The following is a 23,728-nucleotide window of genomic DNA, read 5'->3' as shown; positions in this document are numbered from 1 at the left end:
GGACGACAAGAGCAAAACTCCGTCTCAAAAAAAAAAAAAAAAAAAAAAGAAAGAAAATCAAAAGTCAGAAAAACAATCAGAAATTCAGTAACTGCACATGCAGTTACTTAACCTTCCCCCTTCTGTCTGGCTTTTCCACTGCCTGAGACGTGGCGCTGAGGCTTCCCGTGTCTGAGGCTCCCAGTGCGCCTTGCGCTGCGCTTGGCGGGAAAGGTGACCTCGACCAGGGGTCAAAAAGCCACTGTCGCGCCCCAGCGGGTGACCGTTGAAGGAAAGCGCATGCGCGTCGGGCACAGCGCGTGCAGCCTCGTGCAGCTCTTCTGGTCTCCGGCGCCCGCCCCTCAGACGTAATGTAATATATATTAGTGTGTATATATCTGTGTGTGTGTGCGTATATTTTACTTTTTAATCTCTTTGTCTGTCAGCTTCCCCCTACTTTTAAGTTTCTTAAGGTCTTAGTGGTAAAACATTTGCGGTAAAAATGTATACCCACTTACTTGTCAACAGAGGTTCTTGAGATGGGGTGAGTACGGACGGCGAATTCAGGATTTGTCAGGATAAATTTAAACGTTTAACGTAAATAGGTTCTTCTATGAAGTTTGCCTCTTTAGTAAACTCTTCCAGCTGAATTGTCTGATTAAGAAAAGTGAAACTGGGGCCGGACACAGTGGTTCCGGACACACAACTTCCTGTAATCCCAGCAAGTTGGGCGGCTGAGGCCGGAGGATCATTTGAGACCAGCCTGACCAACATGGCGAAACCCCGTCTCCACTAAAAATAGAAAAAAAAATTAGCGGCCGGGCACGGTGCTTCACGCCTATAATCCCAACACCTTGGGGGCCGAGGCGGGCGGATCACGAGGTCAGGAGTTTCCTGGCCAACATGGTGAAACCCCGTGTCTACTAGAAATACAAAAATTAGCTGGGCGTGGTGGCACGCCTGGAGTCCCAGCTACTCAGGAGGCTCAGGCAGGAGAATCACTTGAACCCAGAGGGGGAGGTTGCGGTGAGCCGAGATCGCGCCATTACACTCCAGCCTGGGCAACAGAGAGAGACACCGTCTCGAAAAAAAAAATTGTATATATATATATGGTGGGCACCTGTGGTCCCAGCTACTCGGGAGGCTGAGGCAGGAGAATCGCTTGAACCCGGGAGGCGGAGCTTGCAGTGAGCTGAGATCGCGCCACTGCACTCCAGCCTGGCGACAGAGCGAAACTCCGTCTCAAAAAAATGAAAAATAAAAACAAATAAAACTGAAAAAGTTTAGAGGGTTTGCCAGGCAATTTTTCATTACTGAATACCTACCTGTACAATGTTGTCATTGTTTGAATTTGTATAGGGAATAAAAATAGGAAGATTGTGCCTTTTTAAAAAGTTCTCTTAAACAGTTTCTTAATAACCCATTTGTTTGAGACTTGCTAGTCAAATGGCTTCAAATCAGGACCCTACTCAAAATGGTTCTACTGCAATATCGACCTCTACGTTTTTGAAGACTCTATTTTAATTAAAGAAATTCAAATTTATTCACATAAAATTGTTTTGAATTTTATATGTGGTAAACTGAAATGTTAGAGGAAAAAAATGAGCTCTAAGTTAAAGCTTGTATTTGTGTCACAAGGTTGAATTAAAGAAAATACTTTATCAGAAGAAGATGGCCACTGCCCAGTTGCAGAGGACTCCCATGGTATGATTTCTTGTATTTTGGTATATCTTAATAATAGCTGCTTTTATTGTTTCTTGAAGTCTCAAATACTCTGTTGGAAGTTAGGGCTCAACTATTTGAGGGTTTTATGATACCAGGAAACTGCATGTTTTAAGAAATGAAGATATTTGCTGAAGTATTTTGAATTAATTGAGAATTCTTTTTTTTTTTTTTTTTTTTTTTTTTTTTTTTTTTTTTTGAGACAGAGTCTCGCTCTGTCGCCCAGGCTGGAGTGCAGTGGCGGGATCTCGGCTCACTGCAAGCTCCGCCTCCCGGGTTCACGCCATTCTCCTGCCTCAGCCTCCCAAGTAGCTGGGACTACAGGCGCCCGCCACTACGCCCGGCTAATTTTTTGTATTTTTAGTAGAGACGGGGTTTCACCGTTTTAGCCGGGATGGTCTCGATCTCCTGACCTCGTGATCCGCCCGCCTCGGCCTCCCAAAGTGCTGGGATTACAGGCGTGAGCCACCGCGCCCGGCATTAATTGAGAATTCTATTGGATGTTTGCTGCATTGCATTAAATTGCTCATTCACATTTAATTTACATTAGGTATTAATGAATACTGCTTTGTTGCTTTGATGAAATTATTGTTCATAGCAGTCCACCTCTAGAACATGAATGTTCAATATATAAGCAGAATAAAATTAAATAAATAAGAAAATGAGGCCGGGCACGGTGGCTCACGCCTGTAGTCTCAGCTATGAAGGTGGCTGAGGCAGGAGAATCGCTTGAACTCAGAAGGGGGAGGTTGCAGTGAGTCGAGATCACACCACTGCACTCCAGCCTGGGTAACAGTGAGACTCCGTCTCAAAAAGAAAGAAAATGAATGTTTGTAACCGAGACACAAATATGCATTTGCTATATTTGTATAGGATTTTGCATTACACTTAACCTCTGTTATACCTACTCAGTGACCAAAGAGAAAAATCAATGTAATCTATCCATGTGTTATGCATTTACAGACAGTTAATCTGCAAGGGGATTCTTAAGATTTTTAGGTACTTTTTGAGCTGAGGCTGAGGTGAGAGGATTGCTTGAGCGCAAGAGTTTGAGGTCAGCCTGGGTAACATAGTGAGATCTCATCTCTACAAAAAAAAAAAAAAAAAAAATTAGCCAGGCATGGTGGTGCAACGCCTGTAGTCTCAGCTACTTTAGAGGTTGTGCGAGGATATATGAAATGTCTAGAATAGGCAAATTTATAGGGACAGATAGGCTAATGGGTAGGACGTGGGATGGGATAAGGGACAGGGAGTGATTGCTAATTGGTATGGGTTTCCTTTTTGGGATGAAGAAAATGTTATGAAATTGGTGGTGATTGTTGCACACACACCTCTGTGAATAAACTAAAAACCATTAAACTGAAAAACACTTTATATGGGTGTCCCAAAAAGGTGTTTTTAAAATACCAGCCACTATTAACATTTGTTTTATTCATCCTCAAAATACAAGCATTTGATATATTTGAATATAATCTGAAGAATTATATAATGATTATATACTTTTTTTTTGAGATGGAGTCTCGCTTTGTCACTCAGGCTGGAGTGCAGTGGTGCGATCTTGGCTCACAGCAACCTCTGCCTCCTGGGCTCAAGCAATTCCCTGCCTCAGCCTCCCAAGTGCTGGGATTACAAGAGTAGCTGGGTTTACAGGTGCCTGCCACCACGCCCAGCTAATTTTTGTATTTTTAGTAGAGACAGGGTTTCACCATTTGGCCAGGCTGGTCTTGAACTCCTGACCTTGTGATCCACCCGCCTCAGCCTCCCAAAGTGCTGGGATTACAGGCGTGAGCCACTGCACCCGGCCTATACTTTTTTAATGAAATACTTTGTGCCCATCAACTTGCATCCAATGGAGGTTGTAGGCAGCTGTGATTGTGCCACTGCACTCCAGCCTGGGCAATACAGTGAGATCCTGTCTCAATTTTTTTAAAAATAAAAAAAAAAAATTAAAAGATTTTTAGATACTTTTTGCATATGTCCTTTAGGCTATTACCCTAGAAATACCCTCACATTTTACATGCCGCTCTGACTTTTGGGGGATTACTAACCAATATAGGGAGGAATTCTTGGGGTGAGTACTATGATTATACAAAATTGGATATATGTTAAGTCAAGAGAAACTTTATTTTTAATAAATTTAAATAAAGTGTTCTACTTTCCCTTGAATTTTAGAGTGCACTGGTATTTCCCAATAAGATATCAACTGAACACCAGTCTTTGGTGTTAGTGAAGAGGCTTCTAGCAGTTTCAGTATCCTGTATCACGTATTTGAGGGGAATATTCCCAGAATGCGCTTATGGAACAAGATATCTAGATGGTAATACAATATTTATTTTAAAGCTTTCTTTTAAAATGGTATTTTTATTTTTGCTTGCTCCAAAACTATAATTTTTGACTTAGAAATTTTATTTTAATAGAAGCTTTATTAATACAATTCACGTACCTGACAGTTCACTTGTTTAAAGTGTACATTTCAATGATTTTTTTTTTTTTTTTTTTTGAGACGGGGTCTCGCCCGGGCTGGAGTGCAGTGGTGCCATCTCCGCTCACTGCAAGCTCCACCTCCTGGGTTCACGCCATTCTCCTGCTTCAGCCTCACGAGTAGCTGGGACTACAGGCGCCCGCCACCACGCCCGGCTAATTTTTTGTATTTTTAGTAGAGACGGGGTTTCACCGTGTTAGCCAGGATGGTCTCGATTTCCTCACCTTGTGATCTGCCCGCCTCGGCCTCCCAAAGTGGTGTGATTACAGGCGTGAGCCACCGCGCCCGGCCCATTTCAATGATTTTTAATAAATTAACAGATTTGTACAACCATCACCACAGTCAATTTTAGAACATTTCTTCATCCCAAGAAGAAACTCCATACCCCTTAAGGCACTGTGCACTTCCCCTCAACCTTCCCAGTCCTAGGCAATCACCAATCTACTTTCTGTCTGTACAGATTTACTTACTCTGGACATTTCATATAAATGAAATAATATAAAATGTGGTCCTGGCCGGGTGCAGTGGCTCACGCCTGTAATCCCAGCACTTTGGGAGGCCGAGGCGGGCGGATCACAAAGTCAAGAGATGGAGACCATCCTGGCCAACATGGTGAAACCCCGTCTCTACTAAAAATACAAAAATTAGCCGGGCATGGTGGTGCATGCCTGTAGTCCCAGCTACTTGGGAGGCTGAGCAGGAGAATCGCTTGAACCCGGGAGGCGGAGGTTGCAGTGAGCCGAGATTGTGCCACTGCACTCCAGCCTGGCAACAGAGCAAGACTCAGTCTCAAAAAAAAAAAAAAAAAAAAAAAAAAAAAAAGTGGTCCTTTGTGACTGGCTTTCACTTAGCATGTTTTCAAGGTTCCTCCGTATTGTAGCATGGATCAGTGCTTCATCCCTTTTTGTTGCTGAATAATGTTCTATTGCATGGCTGTACCACATTTTATTTATCCCTTTATTAGTTGATGAACATTTGGGTTCTCTTTTTGGCTATTATGAATAATGCCGCACTGATGTACAAGTTTTTGTTTTTGTTTGGATAACTAAATGGTTTTAAAATATATACATATATATATATATTCAATACCTTTAGAAGCACTTAATCATAAAATTTTTCCTCAGTTTCTCAAGTATAATTTTACCTGAAATTATGCTTATAATGATGAAAGAAATCAATAGAAAACATACAGTAGTAGTGTATGTTCTTGTGCTATTTTAAGGAAGTAAAAATAATACAGCCAGGGCCAGGCGTGGAAGCTCACGTCTGTAATCCCAGCACTTTGGGAGGCTGAGGCAGGAGGATCACTTGAGGCCAGGAATTCAAGACCAGCCTGGTCAACATAAGGAGACTCCATCTCTATTTTTTAAATTAAAATAATAATAATAATACAGCCAGTTTATACTACAATAATAACTTATTTCTCAGTACATTATACATGCATAATATTGTACACCAGTTATGTGCTGGGCAATATGTTAAGCACTATGTTATATACGATATCTTGTTAATTCATGTAGCAGTCTTACAAATACCTGTTTTTCAATTAAGGTACCTGAGGATATGAGAGACTCTCAGTCTTTTCCACTGTGTTACATGTTGCTTCTTTGCAGGCCTCTTTGTTTTTGATAGCCCGTTAAGTTCTTGGCCTTTACAAGTATTTTACTGGGATAAGATTCTAAGATTCTTGTATAACAATGGCATGAAAGCAACATATCTAATTTCATGGATTCTATAAGTTTTTTATGAAATATTTTTGTACCCATCAGCTTGCATCCTAATTATTATGATGGCATCTTATAATAAATATTAAAATACTACTTTCATATAACCTTTCTTCCTTTAATTACATTAATAATATTAATTATTGCTATTAATAATTTACCTGTGCTGGGCAAGGTGGCTCACGCCTGTAATCCCAGCACTTTGGGAGGTTGAGGCAGGCGGGTCACCTGAGGTCAGGAGTTCGAGACTAGTCTGCCCAACATGAGGAAACCCTGTCTCTACCAAAAAATACAAAAATTAGCCGGTCATGGTGGCGCACCTGAAGTCCCAGCTACTGGGGAGGCTGAGGTGGGAGAATGGCTTGAACTCGGAAGGCAGAAGTTCCAGTGAGCCGAGATCATGTCACCGCACTCCATCCTGGGTGATAGAGTGAGACCCTGTCTCAAAATAATAATAATTATAATAATAATTTACCTGTAATACACAGCAGAAGAAAATAAACTTCATTTAAAATTTCTAGTTGTTTACTTTTCTTAAGTAACTCTATATTTCATCATTTTTGTGTTTAGATCTTTGTGTCAAAATACTGAGAGAAGATAAAAATTGCCCAGGATCTACACAGTTAGTGAAATGGCAAGTAAAAGAATACCTAAAGAGAGAAAATTATTTTTTTCTCATTTTACTTTTTTTTGTACCTTGGATACCTTTGGTGTTTAACCAAATTTTAGTGAATCACCCTTTAATGCTAGATAGCATTTTTGTAGGTCATTAAATTTTCCACCGAAGTTTTCCTCTCCTTGAAGTCTGGGTATTTGGAAAAATAAATTTTAAAAATAAATGTTTCTTTATTTTGTGCCCCATGCAAGCAGGCTTTATTTATTTTATTATTGTTCCCCACAAATAGCTGTCAGATATTTTGTATTTTCCCTTCCATCTCTATCATCATTTTACATTTCTGCCACATTGTTTTTTATGTTTTGTCTTGTTTTAAGCTAGTTAATAAGAAGGGAGCTTTAATAAGACATTTTTGTATTATTTAGTAATGAGATAATATGGAAATTTATGAAAATAACTATTTTCTGGAAATGCATTCAGTCTAAAAATGAATCCTTGATTTTTTTTTTAGGATGCTAGGATGTTATGATGCTTTACAGAAAAAATATGTAAGTCTTGCAATCTCTTTATCCTTTTTTTTCTACAGTTTATGATCTACAAATATAACTGGAGTTATGATGTAGTAAAACATTCATTTGAACTAACTTGAGTGTAGGTCAGTCTGAATTACTGAAAAGCCTAAACATTTGAATATTTTAAAGACTAATCATCAACTCATTTAAAGATAATGGAATTAACACTAAACAAATTTTTCCAAGCTAGTTTTTTTAACACTTATTTGTATTAATAACACGTGTTAACTTACAAAAAAGTTAATGAATTAAAGAGTCTTTTCAAATAGTTTATTCATTAGTTTCACATGCCTTCTACAAGCTTGTTTATACTAATAATTTAATAAATTATTTCCTTATTAGGGTTCAAAAATAAATTTCCACATAATCTAGGTTAAATTGTCACAAATTCTGAATTAGCAAAATTAAGAAGGTTTTAAGATGTATTGTAATCCTTTTTGCATACTTAGTATAATTTAGTACCAACTTGCATAATGAAGTCCAGCACTAGGCTAATTGTGAAGAAGATGAAATTTTTTTTTTTTTGAGATGGAGTCTTGCTCTGTCGCTCAGGCTGGAATGCAGTGGCACCATCTCGGCTTACTGCAAGCTCCGCCTCCCAGGTTCACGCCATTCTCCTGCCTCAGCCTCAAGAAGATTAATTTTTATTCATGGTTCCTAATCTTCCCCATTAAGGCGTAGTAAATATTGAGCGCCCGTTATGTGTTAGGCATCTCTTCTAGGTAGGAACTGGGTAAGCTAACAGTGATCAACAAAACAAAAAAGGTCCCTTGTAAAGTAGGAAAACAAGTAGTTAATAAAACAAATCATATACTTTTCAATAATGTTAAATTGCCATTAAAATTTTTAGCAAAAGTATGTGGTAAATGGAAAGGTGAAGTAACTTTAGATGGGATGGTCATAGGAGCTTCTCTGAGGAAGTGACATTGAAGAGACCTGAATGAGAAGAAACCAGCCAGGCATTGATTTTAGGAGAGAATACTCCTGGCAGAGCAGCAAATGCAAAGAATTGGAAGTTTAGAGAGTTCCAGGAACAAAAAGAAGGCCAATATGACTGAGGGCAATTGTCCAGTGGGGGAGAATAACATGAGATGAGCCTGGGCAGATAAGCAGGGCCAGAGCACTCAGTGGCTTTTATTTTAGGTGCAAAGAAAAGCCATTCAAAGCTTATACATAGAAATGTAATATTTGATTTACATTTAAAAATTGTTTTAGGCCAGGCGTGGTGGCTCATGCCTGTAATCCTAGCACCTTGGGAGGCCAAGACACGTGGATCACCTAAGGTTAGGAGTTTGAGACCAGCCTGGCCAACATGGTGAAACCTTGTCTCTACTAAAAATACAAAAATGAGCTAGGCGTGTTGGCGCGCCTGTAATCCCAGTTACTCAGGAGGCTGAGGCAGGAGAATCGCTTGAACCTGGGAGGTGGAGATTGCAGTAAGCTGAGATCATGCCACTGTACTCCAGCCTGAGTGACAGAGTGATACTCTGTCTTAAAAAATAATTGTTTTAAATCACTTTGCCTACAACTTAGAGAATATGCTGTAGAAGGAGATTAAGATTGGGAGTAAGGAGAATAGCACCTAGGCCATTACTGTAGTACTGGTGAGAAATAATGGTTGCTTAGACCAGGATAGCAGAGAGAGGAGATTCAGGATAGATTTGGCAGTAGAAGTGATTGGATTTGTTGATGGACTGGTTGTGTAATACAAGGAAAAGATCAGAATCAAGGATGACTCTTAGATTTTTGGCAGATCACTTGATTAAATTATTTTCTATGATTTTCTTTTCCTATGGTCTCCAAAACTTCCTCCCTCTGTTGAATTCATAGGGCCCTGAACTCTGCTTTTTCTTTTTTCAAAATCAGTTCTCATTGTTTTCAGTATAACACATATATTGTGTTATTTCACAATATATATATTTTTTCCTTGTAACTGGCAGTAATGTCCTTTTTGCTTAAGTCAATGAAATAAAGTGCTGACATGAATTTCAATCATCAGTAATTTTAGTAGCAATAGATATTTCAGGGGATAGGGAAGCATATCTAAGGTACTGCATTATAGGCATTGATCTTATGCAGTCAAGATCTGCAATGATTATTTGTTATTAGGAATACATGTTGAAATAGGACAAAGAATTCTTATGATTCGTAATGAAAAATTATTTTATAGACTACAAGTAAGATTTTTGTTCTTTGTTGTATTTCAGCTAAGGATGGTTGTTCTAGCTGTAAGTATTTTTAAATTGTGTGTTCTTTTTTTAATACTGCCAAATTTGGCCTTGCTTAATTAAATGACACTAAAACTATCAATTGATTATGTCACATTATTCAAATAACTGATCTATTCAATGGAATGAAAAAGTAATATTTTGGGTGGTCATTTTTATTTGTTTGTTTTGCTGAGTTCACATGAAGTTTAGTCTAAACATCTAATTTAGTTCTTGAATACTTAGCCTTAGATAACTCAATTGTAAATTGTTTTTAAATAGGTATACACAAACCCAGAAGATCCTCAGGTAAGTGTGCTTGAGTTACTAAAGAAACATAATGCCTCTAATATCTAAAAATAACACGAAACATAATATAAGAATATCTTATGCTTTTAATTATGCTTTAATCAATATACTTTCATATATATTTTCACATTTGAGCTTCATAAAACTCTTCTGAGGTAAGGCAGGGCTTGGATTGTTACCTTTAAACAGATTAGCATGACAGAGATTATGTGACTGATCTTAGGCCACAAAGCTTACAAACTGTTAGAAACTTAACTTAAATCTCCTGACGTCTAATTCTTTATAGTATTTTTTATACTACATTTTAGAATTATGAAAGGGCTTGAGTTTTAGGAAAGTAAGAAAGTCATCCTTAAACTTCGAATATTCATCCCAATCCATTCATAGCTACCTATTTATCTTACCATTAAAGGAGAGAAGGGAGAACGTGAAAGGGAAAACCAGAAGATAAGAAACAAGGGGGAAAGATCTACTGAGTGCTTACTTTATATTAGGCTCTGTTCTTTGGGGCTTTATGTGCATTATCTCATTTATTCATCCCAACCTTCATGAGGTAACCACTATTAGCATCTCCGCTTTACAGATGAGGAAATCTAAGTACAAGGGGTTTCTTGCCTAAGGTCATAGTGGCTGAAGTGGCAGAACCAGGTTTTTGAACCTAGGAAGGCCAGTTCACAATTTGGGTGTTTACCCATTACGCTATAGCTGTTACAATATAACGTTTCATTCAGTCAAGGAGAGGTAGATTTAAACTGGTGTTAAAAATAGACGTTTAAAAACATCACTATGTAAGCAATGAAATATAAAGAAAGCAATAGAAGTATTCAGGCTTCAGGAGGGCTGAGAATGTGTCTTTTCTTTGATACTCACACCTGCGATTAATGCTTAATATGTATCCATGCTGACAAAGCAGATCATTTGGGTAAAGGCTGTGAATTAATAGATTGTGTTCAGAAAACTAATTGATTGTTCAGAAAATGTTCATTTATTTTCATATGTTATATAGTTGTGCATTTTTTCTATCAGTAAATTAGCAACCTTGTTGATACAATAATAATATTTATTGAATGTTTACTATATGTCAGGTACTTTATAAAGTACCCTGTATAAATTATCCCATTTGTGAATATTTATTCACAACTATCAATGAGATATGTACTGTCTTTAATCTCTTTTTTAGCTGGGGAAACTAATACTTAAACTAAGGCTTAAGTGGCTTGCCTGTGGTTACAGTATAGCAAAGATTTATGCCCTGTGTTAGCCACTCTGCTGAGGTATGTTGCCTCCCTTATCTGCCTGCTAAGGAGTTCCTTCCATGTGGTATAAATAACTGAAGGGGTGGCCTGCCCCTCCACACCTGTGGGTATTTCTAGTCGGGTGGGACGAGAGACTGAGAAAAGAAATAAGACACAGAGACAAAGTATAGAGAAACAATAGTAGGCCCAGGGGACCGGCGCTCAGCATACCAAGGACCTGCACCGGCGCCGGTCTCTGAGTTCCCTCAGTTTTTATTGATTATTATCTTCATTATTTTAGTAAAAAGGAATGTAGTAGGAGGGCAGGGTGATAATAAGGAGAAGGTCAGCAACAAACATGTGAGCAATAGAATCTATGTCATAATTAAGTTCAAGGGAAGGTACTATGACTGGACGTACACGTAAGCCAGATTTGTTTCTCACCACCCAAACATCTCAGTGGAGTAAAGAATAACAAGGCAGCATTGCTGCAAACATGTCTCGCCTCCCACCATAGGGCGGTTTTTGTCCTATCTCAGAATTGAACAAATGTACAATCGGGTTTTATACCGAGACATTCAGTTCCCAGGGGCAGGCAGGAGACAGTGGCCTTCCTCTATCTCAACTGCAAGAGGCTTTCCTCTTTTACTAATCCACCTCAGCACAGACCTTTTATGGGTGTCGGGCTGGGGGACGGTCAGGTCTTTCTCATCCCACAAGGCCATATTTCAGACTATCACATGGGGAGAAACCTTGGACAATACCCCGCTTTCAAGGGCAGAGGTCCCTGCGGCTTTCCGCAATGCATTGTGCCCCTGGTTTATTGAGACTAGAGAATGGCGATGACTTTTACTAAGTATACTGCTTGTAAACATTTTGTTAACAAGGCACGTCCTGCACAGCCCTAGATCCCTTAAACCTTGATTTCATACAACATATGTTTCTGTGAGCTCCAGATTGGATCAAAGTGGTTGGGTCAAAGTGGCTGGGGCAAAGCTACAAATTAACAACATCTCAGCAAAGCAATTATTTAAAGTACAAGTCTTTTTCAAAATGGAGTCTCTTATGTCTTCCCTTTCTACATAGACACAGTAACAGTCTGATCTCTCTTTTCCCTACAATAACATACATTACAATGAGTTGGGAAATAAATGTCTCTCCAAGACTGAAGCCCCAAACCCAAACCATGAAAACTGACTATGAGGAATCAAAAGTTTCAATGGATCAATAGGGATTAATATGGCAGAAAAAAGTATTGACTAAATGTTGAGTCATACAAAACAGAATATAGCTATTTAGCAGCTAGTACTGAATATCAGAAGCATAACTGCGATATTTTCTATTTAAGACAATTTCAGAATGTTACCAATTCAAATTCAAATACACCAATAATGGACCACTCATGGACTTCATAAGGTATTGTTCTATAGTTTTCTGTTTGTATTACAGATTACCACTTATTCATATTAATGCTATATAGCTAAACCTCAGGATTCATTCTGAAACTGCGGGGACATCCCCAATTAACCATCAAGATGTGGCTATGCAAAATGGAGTGGTGGCTTGCAGTAGCTTCAAGCCAGGATTCTGTGGCTAATAATAAGCAATTTTAATTGTGGAAAGAGAACTTAGGTGATTAGAAATATAGAAATATAATTTTAAAACATAATGTGCTTTCTTTAAACACTTCATATAAAATGCACTTAAGTAAAATTAAGTTATTATTTCTAGCAGATATTAATATTAAAATTTTATAATAGTGACATTAAAACACATGGTAACTTTCAAGTTAACAGCTTAATGCTATAATAGAAATAAGAATCTCAAATAGTTAAAATGTAAAGTTATGATATTAGAAGCCACAGGTTTTATAAAATAAATTAATATGTGATTCTCTTCTAGTAAAAACCAAAGCAACGAATCTAGCATGTTGTCTACTGACACCAAGAAAGCAAGCATTCTCCTCATTCGCAAGATTTATATCCTAATGCAAAATCTGGGGCCTTTACCTAATGATGTTTGTTTGACCATGAAACTTTTTTACTATGATGAAGGTACTATTTGCAATACATCCTGTTTCAGTTGGTACATATGTTTTATCATTATTGAAACAATTGGTTTCCATTCCAAATATTTTTAGCACCTAAATTTTTTGAAATTATAAAATTTACACTTAATATCACTATTCAAGAAAGAAAGATTTACAAAATTAAGCTTTAAAATAGATGCTTCTCTAGTGATAGGAACATATCCATGTGAAGTATAACCTCACTCAAATTTAACAATGAGTTAACAGTTTTCACTTATCAGATTGGTAAAACGTGTTAATCCATTATTGATAAGGATGTGGGGAAACAGGAACTTTTTTTTGTTTGAGACAGAGTCTTGCTCTGTCTCCCAGGCTGGAGTGCAGTGGCATAATCTCAGCTCACTGCAGCCTCCACCTCCTGGGTTCAAGCAATTCTCCTGTCTCAGCCTCCTGAGTAACTGGGACTACAGGCACTCGCCACCATGCCTGGCTAATTTTTGTATTTTTAGTACAGATGGGGTTTCACCGTGTTGGCCAGGCTAGTCTTGAACTCCTGATCTCAAGTGATTCACCCGCTTTGGCCTCCCAAAGTACTGGAATAACAGGCGTGAGCCACAGCACCCGGCTGAGCAGGCACTTTTGTACACGCGAGGGACTGTAAACAGGTGCAACATTTTTAGAGGACAATTTGGCAGTATCAAAATTTTAAATGCACACTATCTTTAATCCAGAAATTCTATAGTGAGAAAAATATATTGAAGATATAATTGTGCAAATACGCAAAGTTATATAAGGATTTTGATTATAGCATTGGCTAAAATAGGAACAAACTGGAAACAACTTCAGTGTCCTTCATTGGGGACTGAGTAAATAAATTATGGTCCATCTGCGTAATAGAATACTACACAAGCTGTTAAAAAGAAGGTGCTGATAAATTACGTTATCCAAGATATATTATTAAGTTAAAACCAGCTAGGTATGGAATGGTATGAGCTCATTTGTGTTTTTTAAGAAATTTTATATGTATTTCCTAAAACCTATGTAAATATGAAATATCTTTTATTATATGCATGTCTTCTAGAAGAACATAAAGCAACAAAAATAACAACTAACATTTATTGAGTATTTACTATGTGCCAGTTCTCTTCTCAACATTTTACGACACTTTATTTTATTCCCACAATGACCCTATGAAGTAGGTACTATTATTTTCACCATTTGACAGATGAGAAAATCAAATCAGGGATGATGAATAATTTACTCAAGGTCACAGACAGTCAAGTGAAGAAAACAAAGCTTACCTTTAGGGAATAAAATGGGGACTTGGACATAGCAGGAGAGTAATTCGTATGTTTTACCTTATGCCCTTATATACTATTTGAAATACCTGCAATCTGCGTGTGTTTTTATAATAATAATTATATTTTCTTTAATTTCATGAACAGCACAGTTTACACTTACTTTTTTGCAGTTACACCCCCAGATTACCAGCCTCCCGGTTTTAAGGATGGTGATTGTGAAGGAGTTATATTTGAAGGGGAACCTATGTATTTAAATGTGGGAGAAGTCTCAACACCTTTTCACATCTTCAAAGTAAAAGTGACCACTGAGAGAGAACGAATGGAAAATATTGACTCAACTATACTATCACCAAAACAAATAAAAACACCATTTCAAAAAATCCTGAGGGACAAAGATGTAGAAGATGAACAGGAGCATTATACAAGTGTAAGTGTATTTCAAGAGTTATAAAGAACAATAATAACAAATGTTTGACTCAATTCTGAAGATTTTTCATAGCTCCCATTAACATTTGTGTAAATTCTGTATTATAATCATAAACTCAAGGTTGAAAGGGACCTTAAAGTCTAGGCCTATGGTTTTAAAACTTTTTACTTAGCCCAAACAACATTGTACTAGAACTTAAAAGCACAACTATTCTGGTTGAAGTAGGGAATGTTCCTGGAGGCTCTGCCACTCCCTATGTCACTTACCTTCTTAGTGGACTCTGAGGAAACCCCTAGGACTCTAGGGCATAATTTGAAAAGCATTGCACTAGTCTAACTCCCGGCTAATGATGGAATCTTTTCTACAACATCCCTACTAAGTGTTCAGGTAGCCTGTGCTTGAATTTCTCTAGGGCCTGGAAAGTCACTGTTCTGAAGCAGCCTGGAAGTTCCTGGAAGTCAGGAAAAGTGTCTCATTCAACTTTTTAATCATCCTGTGCCTAGCACTTGGATTTCTAGTTAGTGCGTCCTAAGTATTAGTCGAGTGAATGGATGAATAGAAGTATAAAAGAGTTTTTTTGTTGCCTCACTTCCAGCAAATATGGAAGTCATTATTGCTTTAATCTTTCAAGCATTAACATTATGTCCTTTAATCTCACCTCTCTTGTATTCTGTGTCTCAATTTATTCTAAATTATGACTACAGTACTTATGTACAGAGATTCACTATTCTGATTAGGCTGTCTAACCACATCTTTACACATAGAAAATTCAATCAATTTTCAACCAATTCAGTTAAAGAAAAAAACTTTTTTCTAAGACCTAAATCCCAGTCTTGCTTTATAACAAATATGGCTGAGGTGTTTGTAGCATTCTTTAAAATATTTAAATCTCTTTCACATGTATCACAAAGGGAACAATAATTGTAATGTAGACATTAAACCTGTTGCAATTTCTACCATAACATGACTGAGCTTATCCTTCAATAACTCTCTGAAGAGTTTTTGTTTATTACTTTTTTTTTTTTTTGAGACAGAGTTTCACTCTTGTTGCCCAGGCTGGAGTGCAATGGCACGATCTCAGCTCACAGCAACCTCCTCCTCCCAGGTTCAAGTGATTCTCCTGCCTCAGCTTCCCAAGTAGCTGGGATTACAGGCATGTGCCACCATGCCTGGCTAATTTTGTATTTTTAGTAGAGACAGGGTTTCTCCATGTTGGTCAGGCTAGTCTCGGACTCTTGACCTCAGGTGATCTGCCCACCTGTGCCTCCCAAAGTGCTGGGATTACAGGCATGAGCCACCACGCCTGGCCGAAAGTTGTATATTTTTATCATTTGTCCTTAAAGCAACCCTGCAAAATAAAGAAAAATAGTATTTTATACTTTATTTGGATTAATAAATTGCCTTTTGATAGAAATTCTAGGAACACTTTTATTTCTAGCAACCATGAGGTAGTTGTAGGTTTTTGGGGTTTTCTGGTTTGTTTGTTTTGTTTTGTTTTGTTTTGTTTTTTGAGACAGAGTCTTGCTCTTTTGCCGAGGCTGAAGTGCAGTGGCAGATCTTGGTTCACTGCAACCTCTAGCCTCCTGGGTTCAAGGTATTCTCCTGCCTCAGCCTCCTGAGTAGCTGGGATTACAAGCATGTGCCACCACGCCGGGCTAATTTTTGTATTTTTAGTAGAGACGAGATTTCACCATGTTAGCCAGGCTGGTCTCCAACTCCTGACCCCAAGTGATCTGCCCACCTCAGCCTCCCAAAGTGCTGGGAACACAGGCGTAAGCCATTGCGCCTGGCTTGGGTTTTTTTGTTTGTTTGTGTTTGAGTCAGGGTCTCGTCCTGTCTCCCAGGCTGGAGCGCAGTGGGATGATCACGGCTACTGCAGCCTCAAACTTCTGGGCTCAAGCGATCCTCTCACCTCAGCCTCAGGTGACAGAAACATGCCACCACACCTGGCTAATTTTTAAAATTTTTTCATAGAGACGAGGTCTCATCATATTGCCCAGGCTAATCTGGAACTACTAGTCTCAAGCAATCCTCCCTCCATGGCCTTCCAAAGTGCTAGTAATACAAGCATGAGCCACCATGCCCGGCCAGTAGTTTTATATTGTATTTAGCCTTCACATGAAACAAATTTGTTCATAAATGCTTTCTGCTCAGTTGTTTTAGTTCCTTTTTGAAATGTGTCAATTTTTTTCTTCACATAATTATGTAGGATGATTTGGACATTGAAACTAAAATGGAAGAACAGGAAAAAAACCCTGCATCTTCTGAACTTGAAGGTAAGAAGTTAATGAAAATGTACATTAACTCACTTCCAACTCAATTTTATACCCGGGTAACTTTTTTTTTTTTTTTTTACAGAACCAAGTTTAGTTTGTGAGGAAGATGAAATTATGAGGTCTAAAGAAAGTCCAGATCTTTCTATTTCTCATTCTCAGGTATAAACTTGATAGTTTCATCTCACTTTTGTTTTGTTCACAGGACAGTTGCTTATGCGCTAATTTTTTATTTTTCAGATTTTCTTATTCCAGGTCTTTTAGAATAAAATTCAATATTTAGAATGCTTGTTATTAACTAAATCTGGAAATTATATGTTGATGAATTTTGAGTATATTACTGGTGGATTTGTTTAGTAATAAACCTAAATACTATTGGTAGAATCTGAGAATTTCAGAGCTAGATAGAATCTTATGCAGTTATTTATTCCACCCTGCTTTGTATTTATAAGTGGAATATATAATACATTTGTGTTGCCTTGGAGCATACATGTTTTATTCTGCTTTTCAAATACAGTAAAATCCTGAAATAAGAGATTTAGGTAATATGAACTTGGAAAAAATATGATTGATGATTGATTGTCTGTCTTCCTCTGCCCAGCCCATTTCTCAAATAAGTAGACTAAATTTCTTGTCTTCTGGAAGGGTGGTGCCTGGTGATCATTTGGTACTTTCTCAGTTCAGTGGTTGGCCAATTATGTAAAGTGTCAGTTTCACTATCTTTACTTTTGTGCTTTTTGAACAGTATGAACCAACTCAAAATTATTGGTTTTAACTTGACAAGACCCTAAATTTTATGTGGTTAAATTTTTGGACCCCATTTATTGTGTTATGAAAAGGTTTTATTATACTAAGTTATATTTTTTGTAATTATTTTCTTTTTTAGGTTGAGCAGTTAGTCAATAAAACATCTGAACTTGATATGTCTGAAAGCAAAACAAGAAGTGGAAAAGTCTTTCAGAATAAAATGGTAAATATCTCTTTAGGTTTGTTTTCCATTGTAACCTTGTAATTCTCCCCCATATGTGAGTTTATTTTAATATTTCGTTTATTAAACCAGTATTTACTAAGTACCTATTATGTGTCAGGTACTTTACTAGGTGCTTAGGATATAACCTGAATAACACATACTTCATGGTCTTAGCTGAAGTTTAGTAACTGGAAATAAACAAGCAATGATACAGAGCCATTATAGAAGTCTGAATAGGCTACATAGGCACAAAGAAAGGAATGGTTAATTTTACTGAAGGTATATTAAAGAGAGGGATCCGGGAAAGGTTTTGGGAAGAAGTGATACTATCATCCAGACTCCCAGAGAAATTTCCTAGAATGCCAGAATGTTCCCATGCTTGATCTTTTTTTCTTTTTAAATTTCATTTAATTTAAGTTCCAAGATACATGTGCAGGACGTGCAGGTTTGTTACATAGGTAAACGTGTGCCATAGTGATTTGCTGCACCTATCAATCTATTACCTAGGTATTAAGCCCCACATGCATTAGCTATTTATCCTAATGCTCTCCCTCCCTCCAACCCCCTGACAGGCCCCAGTGTGTATTGTTCCCCTCTTTGTGTCCATGTGTTCTCATTGTTTATCTACCACTTATAAGTGAGAACATGTGGTGTTTGGTTTTCTGTTCCTGTGTTAGTTTGCTGAGGATAATGGCTTCCAGCTCCATCCATGTCCCTGCAAAGGACATGATTTCATTTCTTTTTATGGCTGCTTATTTTCTTTATCCAGTCTATCACTGATGGGCATGTGGGTTGATTCTGTCTTTGCTATTGTGAATAGTGGTGCAGTGAACATACAGGTGCATGTATCTTTGTAATAGAATGATTTATATTCCTCTGGGTATATACCTAGTAATGGGATTACTGGGACAAATGGTATTTCTGGTTCTAGATCTTTGAAGAATCACCACACTGTCTTCCACAATGGTTGAACTAATTTACATTCCAACCAACAGTGTAAAAGTGTTCCTATTTCTCCATAGCCTCGTCAGCATCTGTTGTTTCTTAACTTTTAATAATCACCATTCTGACTGGCATGAGATGGTATCTCATTGTGGTTTTGATTTGCATTTCTCTAATGATCAGTGATGTTGAGTGTTTTTCATATGTTTGTTGGCCACATGAATGTCTTCTTTTGAGAAGTGTCTGTTCATGTCCTTTACCCACTTTTTAATGGGGTTGTTTATTTTTTCTTGTAAATTTGTTTAAGTTTCTTATAGATTCTGGATATTAGACCTTTGTCAGATGGATAGATTGCAGAAATTTTCTCCCATTCTGTAGGTTCTCTGTTCACTCTGAAAAATATGGAATGCTTCATGAATTTGCATGTCATCCTTGTGCAAGGGACATGCTAATCTTCTCTATATCGTTCTAATTTTAGCATATGTGCTGCTGAAGTGAGCACCATGCTCAGTCTTATAAATTGAGTATCTTGTTAATAAGACATTACAAAATAATCTTTTGTATATATCTTGTATAAAATGAATCTCATATTCTTAAGGGAAAAAAATCACTGCTTTATTTTAGCTTTTGGTATGAATTATACTAAATCAAAATTCATATTTGATTTTAGACCTTTAAGTTACTCTCAAAGGTTCATTGGGGTGAAGAAAAAGCATTCTGTAAAATATATAAAATATCTAAAGTTTAGGAAATAAATAGCTCACTCTGTTAGTGGTGTGCTAGAACATTTATTCCCAACTCCCCACTCAGAGATATCATGTTGGTAGCTTAAATTGGACATGTTGGTAGTATTCACAGCACAGAAATCAGCAAATGCCTCAAGGTTTGTTTCTCTCCTAGAGCTGGTTATTAAACATTTATTGGAACACTACTCATTATAGTGCCATTTTTAAGTGTCTTCCCCCACCCCTATTCTCAATGGGAAGTTAGAACTGGCAGAAGGCAGCATTCAAATGAGTATCTCATGAAAGCAAGAGATAAAGGAATGTCAAGATTTACTACTTCTAGAAGCAAAATGTTCATCCTAGCCAGTTTATATGTAGGATGAATAACCTTTACTAGGATATAGGGATAGAGACCAGCATTTTAAAAATTATTAAGCAAGATCTCCTTGTAATGTAACATTAAGATGATTTAGGGACATAAATTTATTTCTGAAATTGCACATGTTTTTGGATATGAACTCTGAGCAAGTGTACTCCTGATTTTGAGAATTATTACTGAATTGTGGTTAGAAAAGGGCAAGAAATGAAAATATTCATTATTATATATACTAAGGAAGTTATCATTGGAAAGCTCATTTCAAGCATCAGAAAAGAAGTATATCCTTTTAGAGAATAGTTGTATGACACCTAATCATTAGTCATTTTCCAATATTCATTTTAATAACTATATATACAGCATTATTCACAATAGCCGAAAGATGGGAAAAACCTAAATATACATCAACAGATGAATGGATTAAAAAATGTGGTATATTCATACAATTGAATATCAGCCATAAAAAAAATGAAGTGCCAATACATGCTACAACTTAGATGAACCTTGAAAACATGCTAATTAAAGGAAGTTACTCACAAAAGTCCACATATTGTATTATTCCTTTCATTTGAAAGTCAGAACTGGGAAAGTTATTGAGACAGTCTTAAGGCTGGTGGGAGGATGGCAGAATAAGAGAGTGATAGCTAAGGTATATGGGGTTTGTTTGTGGGGTGATGAAAGTGATGTAAAATTGATTGTAGTGATGGTTGTACAACTCTGTGAAGGTACTGAAAATCATTGAATTGTACACTTATAAATGGGTGAATCATATAGTATCTAAATTATATCTCAATAAAGCTGTTTTTTAAAAAAATTGTATATCCAGCTGGGCACTGTAGCTCATTCCTGTAATCCCAGCACTTTGGCAGGCTGAGGCAGGAGGATCCCTTGAGGCCAGAAGTTTCAGGCTGCAGTGAGCCATGATGGTGCCACTGCATTCCAGCCTGGGTGACAGAGGGAGACCCTGTCCCTAAAAAGTAAATAAATAAATAAATATTGCATATCGTTGCATAAGATTGAAAAATCAAGTGTTGGCTGTTCTTTGAGAAATAACCAATTAGTAATTATTCTATCTTTGTGGAGGCAAATGGAAATCAACCAGTAAAATCTTCCAAAGAAAATCGGAAGAGAAGTCAACATGAATCTGGGAGAATAGTAAGTCTTATGATAATGTATAGTTTGAATACAATGGGAAGGATCAGAATATCATTACTACAGATTAAATTTAAAATGATGAATTTGATATCTTTCGATGTACCTGAGAGTTCTGATATTCAAATTTTGTTTAAATATATTTTGTTCTAAAAATCGAGGTGATTTTGAAATAAGATGCCCTATGTTGGTTTATTAGTTTTTTCCATGTAAACATCTCCTGTCTCATTCCATGAATGATTTAAAGTAATTGGAGGAATTTATAATATATAAATTAAAAATCAGCTGGGTGCAGTGGCTCATGCCTGTAATCCCAGCACTTTGGGAGACTGAGGCAGGTGGATCACGAGGTCAAGAGATCGAGACCCTCCTGGCCAACATGGTGAAACCCTGTCTCTACCAAAAATACAAAAAAAAAAAAAAATAGCTGGGCGTGGTGGCGCACGCCTGTAGTCCCAGCTACTCGGGAGGGTGAGGCAGGAGAATCGCTTGAACCTGGGAGGTGGAGGTTGCAGTGAGCCAAGATCGCGCCACTGTACTACAGCCTGGCGACAGACCAAGACTCCGTCTTTAAAAAAAAAAAAAATCAGTGCCAGGAAAAATATAAGAGAATATAGAATGAGAAAGTGACAGTACAAGAATACTAAGGCCATTTTGTTTATATAGAACTGAAATTGGGCCACAAATTTGATCTGAGCTTTCTAGAGATCAAAACTGAAGTAGAAGGAGGATAATTTACTAAATACATGTGTTCCCTAAAAATATAGGGTCTCCTCCTAGTACCTCTGGAGAAAAAAATATTTTCCTGACTTAAACCCTATAGTTGTTTCATATTTAGAACCTTATTTTACCAAATCAGATAATGTATTTGCCATTTCTGAGATAATTATTCATATTTTTCCAACTAGATATTTTAGTATTATTAGTAGGTTAGAATTAAACAACTGAAAACCTAAGACTATTTTTAAAACTCAAATGTTAACGTCTCAAGAGTACAAAAGCAAGACATGATTTAAATCGTACATGATTCCAAGGTAGAATGTTTTTCTATTTGTAGTTCATTTTAAAATCTTTTTTCCCTTCTTATTGCTCTGAAATATTTGGCTATTTTGAGGACATAATGTTAAATCTATCTTCTCACTTCTAGAGCAGCCCTACTGAAGATTATACATTTTGCAAGTACATACTTTCAGCAGCCATTGGAAGATGTTAATAATAAATTTTACTCTACTTTTAAGAAACCCAGATATAGTTATGCTAGGTATGCTAGGCATAAATTTTTTTAAAAAGAAGAGAAATCTCAGATACATGAAAAAATCTACAATTAAAGACATTTAAACAGGAAAGTATCTATTCTTAGTAGTTGTTTTCTTTTGACAGGTCCTCCATCACTTTGATTCTTCTAGTCAAGAGTCAGTGCCAAAAAGGAGAAAGTTTAGTGAACCAAAGGAACATATATAAAAATTATTTTTGTTCTGCAGGCTTGCAGAGTTCTTCTCACCATTTAAACTGAAGGACCCTATATTATATTTCCCTAACTCTGAAGATGTATATGTAGTTTAAAGCAGTTTGTACACTAAAACTAAGTTTTTGGCTGACTGTCATATTGTGGTCCTTAATCTTGAGATAAATCCAATAGAACTTTTGAATAAAAGCAAAAGTACAAATGTCATAATTGATTCGGTAATAAGTAAAATTTCAAAATTGATTTTGTTCATTACCTACTTAATATTTCCTTTAAATATATACTAACTGTTAAGGCCCTCTAATGCCATTTTTCTAAACAGTAATGTTTACTTTGGTATTAAAATTTGGTATGGATTCACTTTTTACTTATGTTAAAATTATACCATTTAACTGGCTCTTTTGTCATTGTGCTGTTATTAAAACAATGTTCTTCAATATTTTGACATAATGTATTAACATTTTAATATATAATGTACAATTTAAGAATTGGTGCTTTACCTTTACTATGCTTTTTTTTACAGGACAAAAAGACTGATTTTTAAAGTATGGCATTTTTTGCAGCATAAATAAAATATTGTTCAGTACGTAGGCCCTTTTATCGCTTCTAATTTTTATTTAAGTAGCAGGAAATATGGCTTCATTCATTTGAAAGGCTGGTAGGAGGATGGGGGGATAGGGAATACTAATTTTTAGATGATTTCGGTAGCTATTACTTTGCAAGAAGAGTTGAGCACACTTTCTAGAATTTTTGAGTGGTAGTATGAAAAATGCTGTGCTTTTAATGAGAAACCTGGGAGCTAGTTCCAGCCTTGCCTGCTTTCTTTGCTTTAGAAAAAGGAAGACTTAAAACTTGGTCTGTTTGCCGCTTGTAGTTTCAGCAGCCATATTCCAAAAACATACACATCCATGGGTTTGTCAGTAATAAGCGCTATAGGGAATGCTGGTACATATGCGATGGTAGAAATGTATTCATCCTGTTTAAGGTAAACCATATAAACGTACACAAACTGACCCAGATCATGTTTTTCTGGAACAGTCAAGTCAAGGATAAACTGACTGTCAGAAACAACCAATGTAAAAATATTTATTTATTTTTAGCTGTATTGCTTGGATCCCAACACATCTCACTTAATTGTCCCAGTATACGCTACTACAGCAACACACCTGCTACGCTGAAATTAACCCACAGAAACCTTTCGAGATTGGCAGCCCATGTTAGC

The 23,728-nt window shown here is 36.9% G+C and overlaps 1 protein-coding gene and 1 pseudogene across 13 annotated transcripts; one reads left to right on the top strand and one right to left on the bottom strand.

Moving 5' to 3' along the window:
- The first annotated feature begins 260 nt into the window (after nucleotides 1-260).
- On the top strand, nucleotides 261-23,096 carry HORMAD1 (HORMA domain containing 1). Of its 13 annotated transcripts, none has more exons than XM_047431814.1 (15): nucleotides 261-352; nucleotides 1,618-1,683; nucleotides 3,874-4,018; nucleotides 6,478-6,541; nucleotides 7,035-7,071; nucleotides 9,303-9,323; nucleotides 9,585-9,611; nucleotides 12,195-12,262; nucleotides 12,749-12,900; nucleotides 14,347-14,603; nucleotides 16,813-16,879; nucleotides 16,962-17,038; nucleotides 17,763-17,846; nucleotides 20,973-21,044; nucleotides 23,030-23,096. In XM_047431814.1, the coding sequence occupies exons 2-15, from the start codon at nucleotides 1,651-1,653 to the stop codon at nucleotides 23,048-23,050; spliced, it is 1,125 nt and encodes a 374-aa protein (XP_047287770.1). In that variant the 5' UTR covers nucleotides 261-352; nucleotides 1,618-1,650; the 3' UTR covers nucleotides 23,051-23,096. The 13 variants fall into 13 exon arrangements, with proteins under 13 accessions (XP_047287770.1, NP_115508.2, XP_047287764.1 ...); NM_032132.5 differs by having other exon boundaries at nucleotides 22,422-23,096; XM_047431808.1 differs by having other exon boundaries at nucleotides 261-523; nucleotides 22,422-23,096.
- Nucleotides 19,184-19,290, bottom strand: RNU6-1042P (RNA, U6 small nuclear 1042, pseudogene; annotated as a pseudogene).
- Nucleotides 23,097-23,728: the final 632 nt, after the last annotated feature.

This window comes from Homo sapiens, chromosome 1 (assembly GCF_000001405.40).
Source record: "Homo sapiens chromosome 1, GRCh38.p14 Primary Assembly".
Classification (NCBI taxonomy): domain Eukaryota; kingdom Metazoa; phylum Chordata; class Mammalia; order Primates; family Hominidae; genus Homo; species Homo sapiens.
Note: the sequence above shows the minus strand (reverse complement) of the source record. Positions and strands in the feature narration are given on the sequence as shown.